Here is a 19,072-nt window from a genome sequence, read left to right as displayed (position 1 = left end):
TCCTAAAGGTGTCTGTGGCCTATTGATACTTTTATCCCCAGTATGAGGCCTGGAGAAGTCATTGCTTAATATATGTCAAAATAATTCGTGAATCGTTGACTGATTGAATGGGGCTCCAGCCAGGACTAAGGAAGGAGCAGGGAGTGGGGGTGGCTTTAAGCAGCCAGTGGGGCTGAAACAGGTCTTGCAGTAGAAATTAAAAATCCATTCGGGACAGCTGGCTATGTTTGTTTTGTGACTCACAGTCCCATTGTCACCAAGGCCTTGGCCTTGGGGATCAGTTTGCTCTGTGGGGGCAGGGAAGACCTCGCTTTGGTGGAGGGAATGAAGGGAGCCTCGCTGGCCTCTGCGGCCCCAAGCCCAGGAAGCAGGCAGAGCAAAGGCTGAGGGAAAGAGAGAGGTTTGCTGAAAGCTTCCAGGGGGCTTGCTTAAATGGCCCCTGCTGGTGCTGGGAGTTGCTGGCACTTGTGGGTGGGGAGAGGGAGCCAGGTTGCAGTCAGGCAGCAACTCGAAGAATTTCTGGTACGATGCCTAAGGAACTCAGACGGAAGAGGCCTGAATGTCCAAGGCTCTAGTGATCTGTGTGACTTTTCTCATTCTAAGTAAGTGGGGTTTTTTTGGTAACTTTGTATTCTTAAAGTAGGCCTCCCAGTTTGAATGAGTTTCTGGACCACAACTCTGATAAGTTAAGAGATAAAAGCAAGGTATCTACCTCCATATCCCCCCAGGGTTGGGGGAACCATATCCTCTCAGAGTACCCGGATCTAAGCCTGGTTACAGCAGCTCAGACTGAGATTAAGCTTTCAGAAGAGGATGTCTCTGCGTGCTGTGTGACCTTGGGCACACTACTGACCATTTCTGAGCTTCAGTCCCCTTTTCTTCCCATGGGAGGAAGCCAGATCAGGTACCACTCTAAGAGTCCCCCAACTCTGACTTCTATGACAACAGAAGGCCCAGGGTATGGGTTGTAGAGAATTTGGGGGCCCTGTGCCTGTGGGAGAGGCGAAAGCAGAGAGAGGCATCTTGGCTGGAGCTCCCTGTGCCCAGATCAGCTTCTGTGTTCCCAGAGACTTTTGGTGTTAATTCTTCTTCCCACAAAGAAGACTGGGTGCTAACCCAGGGAGAAGGCGGGTCAGCAGCAGGGGCAAAGCCCCTTCCTCCTCCTCTCCGCCTCCTACTCATACCCTGCGGCCCTGTGTCTCCTCTTCTCCTCCCAGCACCCAGGCCCTCGGCCCTAGCACCCCTTCACTCCCCATTCCCTTCCCTGCTGCTCCATTCATCCTCCGTCATGTCTCTCTCTGGCCCCTTAGGAATAATACTCAGAAAAGAATAAGTTCTTGTATACACTCAGCATTTTACAAATGTAAGTTACTGGTCTCTGGGGGTTTCCTCTGTGGATGTTTTGTCTCCTCCACCCTCTGCAACCTCCCTGAGGGCAGAAACATGTCCTACGTATTCTCTGTTGCCATGGTGTCTTATAACAAGCCAAGAATGAAGAGGTTGAGTTCGAACCCAACAATATGCCCATGAAGGCCCAGCTGCATAGACAGAGGTGGCATGCGGTTCATGAAGAATGTGCTATCAGACTCCCCCATTCCAGCCTCCTCTCTGACTGCAAGTGAGTCTGCAAATATCTCTGGGGACAAACAAAACGATCCCCCTCCACCACAGTCAGTTAGCCCCACATGATGTAGCACTTAGTTCTGTAGTGAGAAGCAGCCTGGCGTCCTGGAAGATCCTTGGAGCAGGAATCAGCACACCCTGACTGCACTCTGGCCCTATTCCCTCAATTAATGAAACTCAACCACAGCTTTCCCCTCTGGAGACTAAGGAATCAATCGTCTCTGACCTGACTACCTGAATGTGTGCTGAGGATCAAATATGATAACCCTAAGAAGCCGCACACACAAAGGGACTGTTATCATTTCAACCTGCCCACTGAGCTTCACACTCCATGGTCTTTCCTTCTAGAAGGTCATCTCATTGAAGGCAAAGAGGCAAGCATCAGCTCTGTGTTCCCTGCATCCCCACACCCAGTGCCCTGCAGAGGAGGGGCATACAGGAAATGCTTGTAAATGGATGAATGTCAAGCCCCAAACCCCACGGAGCCCTAGAAGCATCCCCTTTCCAGGTTCCTTGTCCTCACCGGCTCTCCTCGCCCTCCAGCAGCTTGCGGTAGGTGGCGATCTCGATGTCCAGGGCCAGCTTCACGCTCATGAGTTCCTGGTACTCACGCAGCTGCCGTGCCATATCCTGCTTGCCCCGCTGCAGGGCGGCTTCCAGCTCCTCCTGCTTGGCACGAGCATCCTTGAGCGCCAGCTCCCCACGCTCCTCAGCCTCGGCAATGGCGGCCTCCAACTTGGCACGCTGTGGGCAGCAGTGCAGCTGTAAGCTGGGGCTCACCAGTCTGCCTTCCTGCCTGCCCATCCTGCAGTGAGCACCCGGGCAACTTGCTTAAGGTGGCTTCATTGGCACCACCTACTCCCCCAAGTACCAGAGAATCCTAAGGGTTAAACACATAGGTTTGGATATCCAACGCCTATGTTCCAGTTCTGGCTCTGCCACTTACTAGCTGTGTGACCATGGATGAATCAACCCTGCTAAGCCAAAGTCCCCTCTTTTCTAAGAGAACATCAGGAGATTTTGAGGATGAAATGAGATAATATACAAGATGTCCGTGGCACAATGTCTAGCACACAGCAAGTGCTTAATAAATGCTATTGTGATCATTTTTAATGAATGCTATTATGATTTTCAAACCCCCAGTCCCCCAGCCCCAGCCCCCAGCTGCAGGAGCTCGAAGACCATGGGATCTTAATTGAGTCTCCAGATGTCAGGCAGCTGACAAAGACCAGAAACCACCTATAAAATAGGAACCAGTTGAGAGCAGGCGCAGAATAGGAGGGCCTGGAGCAGAGAGACCCTCCTAGATGCCCCCAGATGCCATGAGATGCATGACTCACAGTCCCCGGGTTTGGTCAGGGATGCTCTGGTTCCAGACCTGTGCCTGCCTGGAGCAGCTGCCACTTTCTCCCTGGCCTTAGAGTGCCCTCTGCTTTAGGCTCAGCCCCCACTGCCAGGAGCCTGAATAGTCCCAGGCCTCATCTTGTTTAGCTCAGAAAACCACCATCCCTGTCCCCTGGGCAAGGACTTCTCTCCCTTCTTACCGGCCATTCTCTATCCTCAGATCCTCTTCCCTCAGTGGAGGCAGTCTGCCTCTCTGCCAGAGACAGCATTCCCCAGGAGGCCCTCTGACACTCTGCCCCTCGGCCACAGCTCGGTGCCCTGCCCTGTCACACTGGTGCCCCCAGAGCCAACGCCATCCCCGCTGCCTCTGGAGACCCCTTGTAGCTCCCCATGACGCCCCTCAGTGGTGGTAGACACCTGGCTATAGGCCTGGATCCGCCCTGTTGTGTGAGAGGAGAACCGGATGTAGTAGAGGCTGCAGGGTTTGGGAAACCACCATTTGTTATTCTGTGCTTCCCCTCCTGGCCTGGAAGCTGGCCCACTTCATGGGGTGACTCACGGCCCTGCCTCTGTGCCCCAAGGCAGCCTCCGCCCTCCTGTAAACAGGCCCACAGGGCTCCAAGGGGAGGACATTTGTGGGTAAATCACCCTCACATCCCCCCACCACCCACAGCTCATCTGGAAATCAGCTTTCCGAAGCTTCCACATGTGTGCCCTCCCCCTCTCTCCACTGCAGACACCTGCACAGGCTGAGCTGCCCTGGCCACACACTACTCAGCCAGGGCTGGGGGCCCTTCCCCCATCAACACCTCCAACCCCAGCTTCCAGCAAAGCTCATCCTCCCAGGCAGTCTCTCATCTGAGACCCGTGCCCCTGCCATGTGCCAGGTGCTGGAAGAGAGGAGCAGTGAACCAGACAGACAGGGTCCCTGCTCTCCAGGCATCTGTTATATTCCAGTGGAGGTAGGGACCATCAATCACTTAATGAATAAGACAGAACATTTCAGAGAGTGACAGGGGCTTCAAAGAACTTCAGACAGGCTGCCGATAGAGGGGCTGGTGTTTGAGAGTGCCGTCTCTGAGAAGGGGTCTTTTCCTAAACCCCAGGGAGGAGAAAACAACAACCATGGACAGAGCTGGGAGAACCACATTCCAGGGGGAGGCAACGCCAAGTGCAAAGGCCCTGAAGCATGACCATTCTTGGCAAATGCAAGATGCAGGAAGCAGGTTAGCATGGCCAGAGCAGAGTGAGGGGAATCGTGGAAAGTGAGGTTGGAGTGGGTGGGAAAGGGCCATGTGAGTCATTATAAGGTCTTCTGCTGTCCTCTGTCCCTGCAATGAATGATGAGCTCCCAGGGACAGCGCCCTGCAGCCAGAACCAGGTGCAAGCAGAGTGCTCAGTATCAATGTGGAACCAGTGGTGGCTTTCTTCTGGCCAGCCAGCCTGAGTCTCCCTCCACAGGCTCTGTGCACATCCAGGACCTTTCTCCCATCAGCCCATGCCAGGACCTGGCCAAGAACATTCTGTGCTGGAGATCTCACAAGGGGGTCTGAGACAGTGGCACCAGCTTTGGCCGGGAGATGGGAACCTCCTGCTCCACATCCTGAGTTTGGCCTCAGCTGGCCACCCCTGCATGCCCCAAGTAGCAGGGGAAGCCAGGAGGACTTGTCCCACCTGGTTCTTGATGTTGTCGATCTCAGCCTGCAGCCTCTGGATGGCCCGGTTCATCTCTGAAATCTCATTCCGGGTATTCCGGAGGTCGTCCCCATGCTTCCCAGCCTGGGCCTGGAGGGTCTCAAACTGGAGGGGCCATACAGAGAGTTATGGCAGAGAGATGGGCAGTGAGTACAGGTAACTCATCCCTCTCCCCACCCAAGGCCCCTCCCAACTTATATTTTCAGGGAAGGACAGTCTGACTCCCATCAACCTTTGCCCGATGCCAGGAGACCAGACAGCAGTGTGAGGAAGGGATTCATTCTCCTCCAAGCCAGGCAGGGAGGACAGACAAGGCTCCGCAGTCCCATCCCCATGGACCCCAGGGCTCTTCCACTCCCACCATGCCCTTCTGCTGGAGAATCACTGAGAGTTTGAGATTCGCACCCATTCAACACCCAGAACACCCATTTCACAGGTGAGGAGAGTGAGTCTTGGAGAAGAGAAAGCACCACCCAGGGATCACACAGCCAATCAGTGATGGAACGAGGGCCTGAACCCAGGTCTTCTTGTTGGCATACTTGTGTTCTCACCCAGGCACCATGAATGACTCTCTATCTCTGCAGGGGCAGACCTCTCAATCCTTGCCTCGGGATCCCTTCTTCAGGAACACTGGTTCACCCCAGCACCCACTCCTGCTCCCTCAGCCCCTGCACCATCAACTGTCCTGCCACCATGAAGTAGATGTGATGATTAAGCCTCCCAGGTCTAGGGCCCTCACATTCAGGATTTAGTCCCTGCTCTTCCATCTACTAGCTGTATGCAGTTAGGCAAATTACTTAACCTCTCTGTGCCTCAATTTCCTCATCTTTAAATGGGGGTAATAGGCTGGGTGCGGTGTCTCACGCCTATAATCCCAGCACTTTGGGAGGCCGAGGCAGGTGGATCACCTGAGGTCAGGAGTTTGAGACCAGCCTGGCCAGCATGGTGAAACCTCGTCTCTACTCAAAATACAAAAAAAATTAGCCAGGCATGGTGGTGCACACCTGTAGTCCCAGCTACTCAGGAGGCTGAGGCACGAGGATCACATGAACCAGGGAGGCAAAGGTTGCAGTGAGCCAAGATCGCACCACTGCACTTCAGCCTGGGTGACAGAGCAAGACTCCATCTCAAAAAATAGAAATAAAATAAATTAAATTAAATAAAACAAAATGGGGGTAATAATGATGCCTATCTAATAGGGCTGTTCTGTGGATTACATGAGTCAATAATTACATGAGCCTAGTACTGTGTAAGTACTTGCCATATTTTAGCTATTATAATGATTAATCCATATCTATTTCCTCTGCCCTGTCCTCCCATCTTGGGATTTTCTCCAGGGCTGAGCACCACAGACTTAAACCACTGGTGCCTGCCAGAACAGTGGGACCCAGGCCCTGAAGGCTTGAGACAAGTTGAGGAGTAAGGGAAGCTGCCACCAAGGACCCTGGCAGGAGGAAATACGCCCCTGGTGGCCTCACACCTTGGTCTGGTACCAGGCTTCAGCCTCAGCCCGGCTGCATTTGGCCATCTCCTCATACTGCGCCTTGACCTCAGCGATGATGCCGTCCAGGTCCAGGGAGCGACTGTTGTCCATGGACAGCACCACAGATGTGTCGGAGATCTGGGACTGCAGCTCTGTCAACTCCTGTAGGGACCAGACGGGACATCAGGACTTAGGGCAGGATCCTATGCCCACGCCCACCCTGGGATTCCCCACTCACAAAGGAAAGAAAAGAGAGAACAGCTGGGAGTGGGCTGAGTCACCAGGCAGCAAGGGGGCCCAGACCCAGCACACATTAAGTTACTTCATTCTGCCCACCCTTGGCTCCCTGAGGGCCCATTAGCAGTGTCTCAAACGAGAATCTGGCAGGGTTAAAGGGGATAAGGAAAGGGACAGTGTGGTGCGCTGTGGTGACTTCTCACTGTGAGGTTCTGTAGGTGCACGAGCTCTATTGTGAGGGAGGCCATGGGGAATGGATGAAATTATCATATTCCACCATGCTACAGAATACTCTGCAGTCTGTACACCGATGATATGGCTCCAACTACCTGTGGGGAATATGCCCATGGTATACTGTTGCATTAAAAAAAGCATGATGCGTTCTCACTCATAGGTGGGAATTGAACAATGACATCACTTGGGCACAGGGCGGGGAACATCACACACCGGGGCCTGTCGGGGGCGTGGGGGGAGGGGGGAGTGATAGCATTAGGAGAAATACCTAATGTAAATGACAAGTTGATGGGTGCAGCACACCAACATGGCACATGTATGCCTATGTATCAAACCTGCACGTTGTGCACATGTACCCTAGAACTTAAAGTATAATAATAAAAATTAAAATAAAGCATGATGCTATTTTTATTGAAAATGTATATTTCTATATCTTTATGTATATGTAAGCACAGAAAAGTCTGGAAAGGTAGACACAAAGATGGTAGCATTGGGTATAAGTAATCCATTTTCTTTTTTTTTTCTTTTTTTTTGAGACAGAGTTTTGCTCTGTCACCCAAGCTGGAGTACAGTGGCACAATCTTGGCTCACTGCAACCTCCACCTTCCAGGTTCAACCAGTTCTCCTGTCTCAGCCTCCCGTGTAGCTGGGATTACAGGCACCCGCCACCATGCCTGGCTAATTTTTGTATTTTTAGTAGACACGGGGTTTCACCATGTTGGCCAGGCTGGTCTCCAACTCCTGACATCAGGTGATCCACTCACCTCGGCCTCCCAAACTACTGGGATTACAGGCATGAGCCACCACGCCTGGCCAAGTAATCCATTTTCAATTTACGATTTACTTAATTTTTTGGTTGTTTTGCAATGAGTATGTATTACTTTCACCATGAAAACAACTTTATATATATACACACAGGTGTGTTTACACATAAATAAACTAAACTTTCACCATGAAAAGAAAACTTTATATATATGTGTGTGTGTGTGTGTGTGTGTGTACACATGTGTGTTTACACATAAATAAACCATGTGATAGACCCAGGAAGACCTGAGATTAGAAGTGCCTGAAGCAAGCCTCAAAGAAACTTCCCCTGAAATTAATGAATCTGTGGACATTTGCTCTGAGGGGCTGGTGGAGACTGGACGTTCAGGCAAAGACTAGGCTGAAGAACTGGTTTGTAATTAACCTCACAAGCTAATTATGCCCAGCCTAGCCTCTGCCAGGTGACTGGCCACCCTACCTTCTGCCTAAGGCCAGAGACTCACACTGATGAGAGTGGAGAGATTTTTAAATCCCCTTGAAGAAAAAGAGCTGGAAACCCCGGAGGACAAGGGTGAGAGGGAGAGAATAAGAAGGGAAGGGAGGACATTAGAGTGGTGAGTTGGCAGGCAGCTACCCACCCAGCCCCTCTGGGAGTAAATGCTCAGGCAATCCAGTCTCTCCTGACTTGGGCTCCCCTGCTGGCCCTACCTAGCCCACCTTTGAACCCTGTCACAACCTGGAGTCCCCTGACCTCCTCCTGGTTCCTTCCAGTCCCACCCAATCCCCCTTCCTTAGAAATGCTGCGATCATCCCATGTCTCTCCAAGGTCAATCCTGATTGACTCACCCCCACCTCCTCCCGAATCCTTAGCCTGTCCTGAATTCCTGAGTCCAGAAGGGATAAAGGGCAGGATAAATCCTCGCAACCCCTGATGAAGGAAATAATGTATATAATGGTCCATTTCCAAGACAAAGTGCTTTAAATTGGCTTAGGTCAGCAAACTACAGAAGAAATAGGATATACTAGCCCTTTGCTTGAATAGCCAGTGCCTGCTTGTCAGCCCCCAGCTTCTCTTGCCCTCACCTGAACCAAAGAAGTTTAGTCTAAAATGAAGGTTTTCTAGCCTGCAAAATGGCTCACTTTTTCTGTTCTTATCAGCCTGCCCAGCTACTTAGGTCATAAGTCAAATACTTAAAGAGCCCTTGAGCTGACTAGGATTGCAATGCATTGTAGGCTGCAATAAAATGCAGCAAGACAACCTAAAAAAAAACACCTAAAGCCCCAACCCAACAACCAATAGACAACGTCCAGGAAGATCGTGACCCCATAGTACTCAGCCTGTGAGGAACGGAGGGAGGGACCTGTGCACTAGAGGATAAATTGCTTGTTGTGGCTGTGCTGGGCATGCCTGCCCATCAGACACCCATCTTGCAAGACTGTCATTAAAATCTCACTTTCGCTGTTCTCCAGGTCTCTGAGTCCATTCTTTGGGTTTGGACGGATGAGTTTGTTTCTCACACTGACACATATCTGGACTGACACAGAGGCGGGGGGCTGGACCAGATGGCTCCCTGGTTAGAATGGGTAGGATAAGACATGTCACCCAGCTCCATGGTCCTCACCGTCTCATTGAGGGTCCTGAGGAAGTTGATCTCATCATTCAGGGCATCCACCTTGGCCTCCAGCTCCACCTTGCTCATGTAGGCAGCATCCACATCCTGGGGGTTGGGGCAAGATGGGGCAGAGGGAGACCATGTCCTCAGTACAGGGAACATTTAGTAGGGGTGGAAGCAGGCCTGCCCTGTCCAACCCACAGGCCAAATACTACTGCCCTACCCAGAAACAGTTTCTACAGCTGCTGTACATGGTCACAGCATGAAGCTTGCCCTGCTGACCCTCCAGACTGCATGGTGGGCATCAGCACTGGTATCCCAGAGCAACTGAAGCCCCAACCTAGCACTTGACCAGTTCCTAAAGACCTAGATGGTTTCAACACCACTAGCTCCACCTACTAACCGTGTGACCTGGAACAAATCACTTCAACTCTGGGAGCTCAACTTTTCGTCAGTCAGTAGCAGAACACAAAGTCATTCAGATTCCCAGCCCCGCTCCCAGAGATGGAAAATCTCCAAGCTATGTTTTTAATTTGCAGCATGGTAACTATGATGCAGGTGGGCCTCAGATAACACCCCAGGTGAAGATGGTGTCTGAGCCTCTTCCAGCTGCACTTTCTCAAGCTTAAACTCCTACGGACAGGCCTCACTTTTACTCATTCCTGAATCTCCAAGGGCCCAGCTCCCAGGGGCAAGTTGCAATTCTGTGGTTTGGCCTGGAACACCAACTGCTCAGTGTATTGAAGAGAATCTTAAAGGGCATGTAGACAAGACCCCTAAGATACTTCTAAGGCGTTCCAAGCTTGCACATCTGCAGGAACAGAGAGCTCATGCTGGCTCGAGGCAGCTCATTGCATTCATTCAGCAAACATTTCAGGCCAGCCAAGCAACACCTTTGTGATGAAAATGTTCTGGCTTGAATAGAGCACTCCTTATTCAGTGTTGAAATCTCCCTCTATAATCTCCATCCTTTGCTCTTAGTTCTAACCCCTAGAGGCCTAGAAATGAGTCTAATCAGTCACCACACACACACACACACACACACACACACACACACATACACGCACCCACAGGACAGGCTGTGCAGACTTCCTCTTGGACAGCTCAGGCAGGCCTTGGCCAGAGGTCCCCATGGGCTGCTCAGGTGAGAGGATCCTGTGGTCCTTTGTCCCATGTTTTCAGACAACCCTCCTCGAGCCTGTCTTTCCCACTCACCTTCTTCAGCACCACAAACTCATTCTCAGCAGCTGTGCGGTGGTTAATTTCATCTTCGTACCTACAGTAGAGGAGGGCCTGGTGTTGATGCAGCTTTGCCTCCATGCTCCCGTCCCCCCTCCGCCATATGCAGCTGTGAAATCTGCCCTGCCTCCCTTCCCCTACTCTTTAAAGACACACCTGAAAAAACAGGTGTCAGCTACAAAACCAAATTTCCCTGACTTCCACGCGGCCATTCCTAGGGCTTTGAGTCTTGGCATGGGGGGTTGTTGGTGGGGCACATAGGAAACATGTGAATGACAGCACAAAAGCTGCATGTCCTGGGAGAAAAAAAGCAAATAATAACAGCCATATGCATGAGACTGTGTTCTATGGGGTGTGCACCATTATGTGCTTCTTATGCATGAGCTCATTTCATCCTCACAGCAAACCTATAACGATGGTACTGTGGTTATCAGAGAAGGGAACAGAGACACAGAGAGGCAGCGTAATCTGCCCAGGTCACTAAGCTGCTAAGTGGCACAGCCCAGACTTGAACCTTGGCAGCTGACTCCAGCCATGCCCTAATCACTACCTAATCCCACCCCTCAGGGGCAAAGAAGGAGTCTGAAGGGGAGGAACCCTGTAGAATCAGGATGAGGGATACACAAAGTCCTGAAAGAACCAGGTCCCGCCTGATGATCCAGCCCCCATCCTTCCTCCCATAGCTCCCATCACTCTTCCTCCCAAGGAGCCACTCCTGGCCCTTAGGAGGACCTGGGCAAACAAGGCACAGAGGAAGAGACCACAATGGCTTAATCTAATGTTTATGTTGAGACTCAAAAAAAGGTGTTGGAAACAAGAGTTCCAAGAGCTGCTGGAAGCAGTAGGGACAACCTGGGGTGGAAGGCAGGACATCCAGGTAGGCCAAGCCCCTTCAGGAGCCCAGACTCAGGGTTGGAGGTGCCCATACCCTCAAAGTTGCACTCCCTCAAGTTCTGTAGAAGCTGGAAAATATCTGCAAGGCTTTCCGTCCACCCCTGCCTTGGCAGTGCACAGCCAGGTCAAGAGGGTGCACAGATCGGAACTCCCTGAGCAGCTGCACACAGGGACCCTCCCTGTACTCCTTCCCTGGACTCCCTTCCAGTTCCTCTTTCAGTCCCAGCCTGGATCTCAGACTGGCTCCACAGGAAGGTGCTCTGAGGGTTTGGGGTGGGGGGAGTATGGGGGTGGGCACCAGGTATGCACACACGCATGCACACACGTTAGTCCTGACAACAGGGGCTGAATGATGGCCCCACACCTTCCCTACTCTGCACCTGTCTGGTTCCACCTGCTATGGGACTAATCCTGTTGACTTTTGCCCTAGGGAAGTGGGAGTGTTGGGGGGGGGCACTCCACAGAGACCTTGTTTGCTCTCCTCCAGTCAGAGCCAATGTGTGACTCCTGCTTAGTCACACAGCCACAGGCAGGGGACAGAACTCACTCACTGCCCCAGTGCCCCTCAGGTGTGCCAGGGTGGGGCCCAGCCTGAGCTTCAGGCTTTTGTTTCTATTCAATGAGAAAAGAGTGCAAAAAGACCTGTCCTCAAAAGCCCCAGTCCCAGCCTTCCTGAGCCTCCTTCTGGCTCCTGCCATGACCAGACCCACCCTCAGCCTCTGCGGCCCTCGCATGGCTCACAATGACCATTTTCCCTCTCTGCTTCTTTGCTTCCCAAGTTGGCTCTGTGTCCTCTCCTAGGAGTCAGGGACCTAAAATTCAAGTCCCAGCTCTCCCAGTGACCTTTGCAGTGTGAGCTCAACCAAGTCCCTAAACTTCTCTGGTCTCTAATTCCTCACCTGAACAAAAGAGAGTTGCTCTAGAATAATCTGTGAAGGTCATACCAGTTCTGAAGCACCCCTGTCAGAAGACACTTTCTGCCCTACTCTCTCTCGGGGCCTTGGTCAGACACCCAAAGGAGACAGTGCAGGTCAGGGCTGGGCTGAGACATTTCACTGGGACTGAGTCAGGGGAAAAGACCAGAATGATTTGGAAACAGCCCCCAGGGACAAAGAGGAGAGAGGAAAGGCAGGAAATGTGTTGGTCAAGACTGGCCCCTCAGGGAGTTATTGGACTGAGCAGCTGCATGCTGATTCCTGAAGCAGGGGGACTTGCACAGGGTCAGCTCATGAGGGTCACATTGGCCCGGGGCAGGGGTCTTCGCATGTGGCACAGGGGGCATTACTTATTCTTGAAGTCCTCCACCACATCCTGCATGCTCCGCAGCTCCGCCTCCAGGCGGCCCCCATCCACCTGCAGTGCCTCAAGCTGACCCCGAAGGCCAGCAATCTGGGCCTCAAAGATGTCTGGGAGGCGGCTGCTCTTGGCCGACTTCTGCTCCTGCAGCAGCGTCCACTTGGTCTCCAGCAGCTTGTTCTGCTGCTCCAGAAACCGCACCTAGAACGGGCGAGAAGGAGGAAACTCAAGAGGAGCCAGAGCGTGCCACCCACAGCGGGATTGAGGAACATCATCTTTAGCCACTTAGCAGAGCCATGCTCCCCCTGGCTGTTTCCCTGCCTGGGGCTTCCAGCCCTCTCCCTTTGGACTCCAAATCAAGTGTCCTACAGAGTGATCCAGGAAGCAGGTCTGCCTGGTGCACGGAAGTGCCCCGTGGTTGACTCTCGACGAATGTGCTCCAGGGCCTCCTCTCCACTTCACTCCCCATCACATTACAGGTGGTGTTCTCCACCTCCCTATCTGAACAGCCACCTCTTCCTGTCAATGGATCATGAGGATGACCAGGCCCAGCCCTCCCTTCTGTCTGGGACCTCTTCTCTTCCTTCCTCAATATCCTTTCTCTCCTTCCCCTTTCTCCAGCAAGGCCTCAGGACAGTCAATCCATGGTAAAATGACCCCAGCCTGGAGCCCACAAAGGCCCTTAAGGAGTAGCCGGTATGACTGGAGGTGGGAGGCAATAGAGGCCTCTGCAAAACCAGCAGCTCAGGGCCCCAGGCCCTGGGGACCACAGAGAGTAAGACGGTGCAGCTCAACACATGGGGGAACCTGGGCCTGGAGCAGCTTGGGGAGGCCCCTATGAAATCTAAAAGACCGGTCTGGGTGAATGGCGAAGGAAAGGAGAACGTGAGGGAGGCGGGTGTGGGAGTACACTTCGTCTAAGCTGAGGAAGGGGGCCCTGGCCAGAACAGCCCAGCAGGGCCAGCCCTGAGTTCCTGGCTTTGGCAGCACTCCTCCCAAACCCACCAGTCAAGTCTGCCCTCGCCCCCTCCAGCGGCCCCATGTGTGGCGGAGGCCAACAGCCAGGAAAAATATCTCCAAAATGGACCCCTTTTTGAGGGCCCTCTCTGCCACTCCCTGCCCCCAACTGGGCTGTCTTCAAGGGCAGGTATAACCTCTCCTCCTGCCACCTAAGGGAGGCTGGAGGACCAGGCAGGTGGGGGAGGGGAGGGGCGGGAGCCCCCCCCCCTCCCCCGCCCCACCGACTGCCGCTCTAATCTCCAGCATCTGCATCCGCATCAGCATCTGAGAGAGCCTGGGTCTCCCCCTCTGGGAAGGGCGTGCCATCCAACTCCATTCCTGACTCCACACGGTCCTCTCTCAGGGAAAGGGTCCCAGAGAGAGAACTCCTGGCCTAGGCCTCTGGAACTCCTAGTCCGAGGCAAAACTGGTCCAGGTGACCAACAGGCAGCCAGCGAGGGCAGCCCTACAGGACTCAGGCCCGCACTCCGGGAGGAAAGGGAGGGGCAGCTGGGCAGCTTGCTGGAAGGGAGGGCTTGGAAACCGAGGGGATAAAATAGCCACGGGGTTCATGCGAAGGAGGAAGGACCCCCAGATCGTGTCCCCAACACTGGCGGAAAGACAGAAGGGCGGCAGTGCTCCCCAGCGCCTGGCCCGCGCGCAGGCAGGGCTAGTTAGGGCGGCTGGTGTGGTCTGGAGCGCGGCTCGAGGAGAGGCGAGGTCCAGTCCCGCTCACCTTGTCGATGAAGGAGGCAAACTTGTTGTTGAGGGTCTTGATCTGCTCGCTCTCCTCCTGGCGCACCCGCTGGAGGGAGGGGTCGGCGTCCAGCCGCAGCGGGGCCAGCAGGCTCTGGTTAATGGTGACCTCGCGGATGCCGGCGCCCACCGGGCCCCCATAGGCAGAGCGCACGGCCACGCGCGGCCGTGAGGCGCCGAGGCCGTAGAGGCTGCTGCTGCCAAGGCCGCCGGGGCGAGCGGAGCTCAGGCGCACCTGGGCGCCGCGGCCCGAGAAGGCGGCTGAGCGCGAGGTGAATACCGGGGAGCTGAAGTGGATGGACATGGTGGCTGGGCCGGGATGGACCTAGCGGCGGGCGAGGAGGAGCGCGCACTCGCTGACCTCGGGGACACTCCGCGCCTTTTATCCGCGGGAGCGGGCGGCTGGGCTTCCACAGGTAGGGGCGGGGCTGCCGCGGGCCACCTTTCTCTGCTGCCAGGCCCCTCCTGGGGCCGCCCTCCGCCCTCTGCCCGCCCGCCCCGCCGAAGCCCAGGCTTTCAGTCCAAGCAGGGATGGTCCGGAGTAGGCAGGAGCGCCATCCCTAGACGGCCGCAGAGAACAGCGGGGGACCGCAGTTCCAGCCCATTGGAAACGGACTCAGTGAGGGAAGGCTTCCCGGAGGAGGATGCTTGGAGAGGGAGTGAAGAACCTAGAGATCCCTGAGGCCCAAGCAGAGAGACCCAGTGGCAAGAGACTGGGGGAAGGGGTGGGCTGAAAAGTTCCAACCCAGGAGTCAACGCCCAGACGTCCCCATCCTCCAGGCTGCTGAAGCCAGAAAGGCATTCCTTACCGCTCTCCCTCACACCGATCCAGCTCCTCCTTGAGAGATCAGCTCACTTGTTCAGGGGTCTGACCCCTCCTGGCCCAGCTAGTTTCCCTGGCTGCGTTCCTTCCTACTTCATTTCCCATAGAAACTAGGCTGAGAGAGACACACGACCGACCGCACCTCTGGCTCCTCCCCTCCCCACTCCAGTAGGCATCGGAATCCCAGGGACCTTGGGAATGCTTACCCTGGACCCTCACCTCCCGGACCCTCCACTCATATTCCTGCCCATTTATTTTATGCGTCCCTGTACAGGAAGGGGACACTTGTGTGTATTTGTGACACTTTGTGGATGTGTGGACACTTTGTGGATGTGTGCACACGCCTGCAGGCCTCTGGGCTCTGCTGTGCTCACACCCCCAGGCATATGCACCCGCATGTCTGAGCCTGCTTACACAGATGGGGGTCTGTGCGTGCATCCTGGGCGAGGGGGCAGCTGTGGCTACACAATGGCACACATTTTCATGCCTGCCTGAGTGCGTGTGCTTCTGTTAGCACTCAACTCTCCTCCCGCTCCCTCCACCATTTTCCTGTTTAAAGGCCCTCAGCTTTCATCATCTTTCTCCCGTGAAGCCACCACCAAACAATTCCCAGCAGTTTCAAACCCAGTCAAGAGGGGTAATCCTAGTGCTGGAACCGAATACCGGACAAAGCCTGAGTGTTGGCCTCACTTCCCGGTAGGGCCAGCCATGCTTGCCACACCCTGTTCTCAGGCCTGGCTTCCGTCTGCCCTTAGCCCACCTCTAGCCCCTCCCAATAAGCTGGCCAGGTTCGTTACCTCAGACCTAAGCCCTTGGGGGAGACAAGGGTGGGGACGGAATGTCCTTCCTGCTTGGCCATTTCAGTTAAAGCACAAGGACTTCCAGTGAGGCTAAAGACTGTCACTCCTTCTCAGTGATCTTAGTGAAGGCTCACCAGCCTCCCTCCCTGCCTCCCCTCCTGACCCTAGCCATTGGTGTTGGGTCAGCTCAGGCCAGAGGCGGAGGGGTGCCCAAGGAGACCTGCTGTGGTATCGGCTGTGGAGCATGTATGTGTGCATAAGACCGAGAGAGATTCGACCTGGAATTGTGCCTGGTTGTAGCTTGAAGAGCATACGGATTACCTGGTCCTGTGATATTTGCATTCATAGGAATCTCACTGCCCTCCTTCCCCAACGCCCAAGCAGGCAAAAAAGACCAATTGTTTAATTTACACACACACACACTCCAACTTCCTCACCCCTCAGGGCTCATCTTCAACTCTGTTTTTACCACTGCCTCTCACACCAACGCCTGCTCTCCCATACCTCCACTAACAAGTTCTGCCTCTGGCCCTCTCATCCGTCCCCATCTCCAGCCCCCTACAGGATCTGCGCTCTGGAGGCTGTGCCCACCTAGACCAGGAGTTCCTGCATCCACTTCTCCCCTAAAGCCTGGCTGGGAAATCTTTGTCAGGGCACTGCTGTTGCCTTGAGGCCCTGGACATGTCACTGCCCCTCCCTGGGCCATGGATTTTTCACCCAAGATGAAATCTCCAGATTCCATACCTAGAGAGGACTGGGGAGGACAATGGGAAGGAGAAAAGGTCTCTGGGCTTTTCAGGCTCACATCTGGGGTTGTGGGTGGGGGCCACTTTGAGCAACATTTCTGCATTCCAGGGCCTGCCTGACATTCACCCCTTGGCCTCTCCTCCCCTCTCTGAAGCATTCCAGGCCGTTCCAGCCCTGGCCAGTCTCCTCCTGCCTCTCCATTCACAGGCCAGCACTAAGAGCCCACTCTGTGCCAGGTGGCACACGCAAACATCCTCTGGAGGGCTTCCCAAAGCGCTGCCAACCTGAGAGGCTGCAGATAAGATTCCTGCCCACAAGAGTTCACAGCTCACCCATCCATCCAGCCTCTGTCTCCACCCCACCCGGACTTTGTTGGCCTCACCAAGACCACCTTAGGAAATCCTGGGCAGAATCATGAGGCGAGTTATTCCCACAGTCTTTCCCCATTGGTCATCTGCCTGCCCCAAATGCAGGCTCCTGTCTCCGTAGCACTCTGTCACACACACACAGCCAAGCACACCCCCACTGTCTTCCCACCACCCTCCTAGCTGTCCCACCTCATGCTCTAGAACTGAGCTATGAACTCAAAGCAGCCCCAGGTCCTCCACATTGCCTGGCTCTGCTAAACCTGCCCTAGACACCTCTGCCCCAGTGGCCCCTGCTGCTCCTTTCCCAGAGAGGAGGCATTCTGTTTGGCTCCTTGCTGCACTTAGAGAACTATTACTCATTGTCTATCCCCTAAAAACACGTCCTCTGACTCATAAAGAAAAAAAATATTAATTTTTTCATTATCTTGGAATTCGAATTGGAATGTGGTATATTTGTGAAAAAATAGAAACATCCTAAATGCCTGTCAATAGGGAAGTGATTAAAGGAATTGACCAATTCATTTAATCCAGTGAATTGACCATTCACTGGAATGCTATTGGTTGAAAAGAAAATCCTTTATATACTGATTGAGTTTTTAACCTTTATATATTGATTGCACAGATCACTGTGATTCTAAAAATCCTGTGGGCTCCTGTGATCCAGCTGCACCACTCCTGCCTCTCTCCCCTGAGGCTGATCCCTACTGGCCCCACAGCCACCTACTGACCTGACTCCCTTCATGCTCACTGTGGACTCTGGCACCTGGGTCCTGCTTCCTCTCCACCCCGGGCTCCCTCATTCTCAGTGCAAATGACCCACCCAGCATCTTACCCTTTGAGTTCCTTGAGCTCCTCAATTCTTTCACTGCATCCTTTTTCTCTTGCCTACACCTGAGGTCACATTCTAGATCCTAAACTGCAGGACCATTGATAATAACTCTCACTGTCATTGGTGGATTCCTCAGCTACACCAGCACCCCCAGTCCTGAACTTGGCTGTTCCGTTTTCTCCCCACCCACCACCCTCCTTTCACCTTTCTTTCCAGCTCAGGCTCCCTGACCATTACTCTCACCCTCTGACCCCTGACTCTTCAGTCCCCACGTGGATAAATCTCCAGCCCTATTCAGCCTAAACCTCAGACTCCTCTCCTCGAGCTCTAGCCTGCAAAGCATTACTGGAGAAAGCCACATCCTTGGGGTCGGGTGTGACCACCAATGCAATCCCCATCTGAGCGGTATCCCCTTTGCCACTGGGCACTTCTCTCTGCCTTTGGTCAGCAGTGTCTCCTGGGCCTCCTCGTTGCTGGCCATTGACATCCTAGCATTTCCCATGTACCTGCTGAACTTTATGGGCTTGTAGAACTGGATGTGCAAAAATGGTTCCCCTACTTCTTGGTGAGGTTCACTGTGATGTACAAAGAACAGATGGCAAGCAAGAAGCAGGAGCTCTTTGGCAACCTGCAGGAGTTTGTGGGCCCCTCCAAGAAGCTCTCCCTGCTGGAGGTGGGCTGTGGCATGGGGGCCAACTTCAAGTACTAGCCACCTGGGTGCAGGGTGACCTGTATTGACCCCAACCCCAACTTTGAGAAGTTTTTGATCAAAAGCATTGCAGAGAACCAACACCTGCAGTTTGAGCGCTTTGTGGTAGCTGCCAGGGAGAACACGCACCAGGTGGCCGATGGCTCTGTGGACATGCTGGTCTGCACCTTGGTGCTGTGCTCTGTGAAGAACCTGGAGCAGAGTCTCCATGAGGTGTGCAGAGTGCTGAGACCGGTGAGTGAGTGGGGGAGGTGTGCTAACCTGGATGGAGTATCAGGCTGCATCCGGACACCTGTGGGCTCAGGCACAGCTCACACTGAGGGCGACCTTAGACAAGTCACTTTACTCATTTGTTTGTTCATTATTTATTCAACAGACATTTCAAGAGATTTTAAGAGTGCTGACTATGTGTAGCAACACAGTTTTCCTGGAGTGGGAAAATTAGTCTCAGAGGGATTAAATGAGTTACGCAAAGACACATGGCTCACAAAAATGGCAGAGACACAACTAAACTGAGGCACCTTAATTTCTAGGCCAGAGACCTTCTCACCATGCTGCTCCATTGGTGGCTTTCAACCTGGTGTCTTCTAAATCCCATCACAGAGTCCGGTTTTCTAA

The 19,072-nt window shown here is 53.7% G+C and overlaps 1 protein-coding gene, 1 long non-coding RNA gene and 1 pseudogene across 5 annotated transcripts in view, besides 4 other annotated features; 2 read left to right on the top strand and 1 right to left on the bottom strand.

Annotated features, from left to right (window-relative positions):
• The window catches only part of KRT7 (keratin 7), a 22,611-nt gene extending 8,075 nt beyond the window's left edge, over positions 1-14,536 (bottom strand). For 2 of the 4 annotated variants that reach the window (XM_011538325.3, NM_005556.4), the window contains exons 1-7: positions 14,159-14,536; positions 12,413-12,624; positions 10,210-10,270; positions 9,004-9,099; positions 6,143-6,307; positions 4,642-4,767; positions 2,147-2,367 (exon numbers count right to left, since the gene is read on the bottom strand). In XM_011538325.3, the coding sequence (XP_011536627.1) occupies positions 2,147-2,367; positions 4,642-4,767; positions 6,143-6,307; positions 9,004-9,099; positions 10,210-10,270; positions 12,413-12,624; positions 14,159-14,482 (1,205 nt within the window). In that variant the 5' untranslated portion in view covers positions 14,483-14,536. Of the gene's footprint in view, positions 1-2,146; positions 2,368-3,205; positions 3,408-4,641; positions 4,768-6,142; positions 6,308-9,003; positions 9,100-10,061; positions 10,271-12,412; positions 12,625-14,158 lie in introns of those variants that run through there. The other 2 variants (XM_047428827.1, XM_017019294.2) reach the window with 2 other exon arrangements.
• On the top strand, positions 331-2,736 carry KRT7-AS (KRT7 antisense RNA 1). Its single transcript, NR_146274.1, has 2 exons — positions 331-602; positions 1,311-2,736. It is a non-coding gene; the product is annotated as a KRT7 antisense RNA 1 (long non-coding RNA).
• Positions 2,940-3,089: an enhancer, noted in NCBI's record as "active region_6398". NCBI's record gives its function as "activates an Ori minimal core promoter by ATAC-STARR-seq in GM12878 lymphoblastoid cells {active_cell/tissue: GM12878}" and the evidence as "EXISTENCE:reporter gene assay evidence [ECO:0000049][PMID:35858748]".
• Positions 3,140-3,569: an enhancer, noted in NCBI's record as "active region_6397". NCBI's record gives its function as "activates an Ori minimal core promoter by ATAC-STARR-seq in GM12878 lymphoblastoid cells {active_cell/tissue: GM12878}" and the evidence as "EXISTENCE:reporter gene assay evidence [ECO:0000049][PMID:35858748]".
• Positions 3,963-4,938: an enhancer, noted in NCBI's record as "H3K4me1 hESC enhancer chr12:52636625-52637600 (GRCh37/hg19 assembly coordinates)". NCBI's record gives its function as "activates a minimal SCP1, AML or CMV promoter by ChIP-STARR-seq in primed H9 embryonic stem cells {active_cell/tissue: H9 hESC(primed)}" and the evidence as "EXISTENCE:reporter gene assay evidence [ECO:0000049][PMID:30033119]".
• Positions 12,975-13,950: an enhancer, noted in NCBI's record as "H3K27ac-H3K4me1 hESC enhancer chr12:52627613-52628588 (GRCh37/hg19 assembly coordinates)". NCBI's record gives its function as "activates a minimal SCP1, AML or CMV promoter by ChIP-STARR-seq in naive H9 embryonic stem cells {active_cell/tissue: H9 hESC(naive)}" and the evidence as "EXISTENCE:reporter gene assay evidence [ECO:0000049][PMID:30033119]".
• TMT1AP1 (thiol methyltransferase 1A pseudogene 1) lies at positions 14,498-19,072 on the top strand (annotated as a pseudogene).

This window comes from Homo sapiens, chromosome 12 (assembly GCF_000001405.40).
Source record: "Homo sapiens chromosome 12, GRCh38.p14 Primary Assembly".
Taxonomy (NCBI): Eukaryota; Metazoa; Chordata; class Mammalia; order Primates; family Hominidae; genus Homo; species Homo sapiens.
Note: the sequence above shows the minus strand (reverse complement) of the source record. Positions and strands in the feature narration are given on the sequence as shown.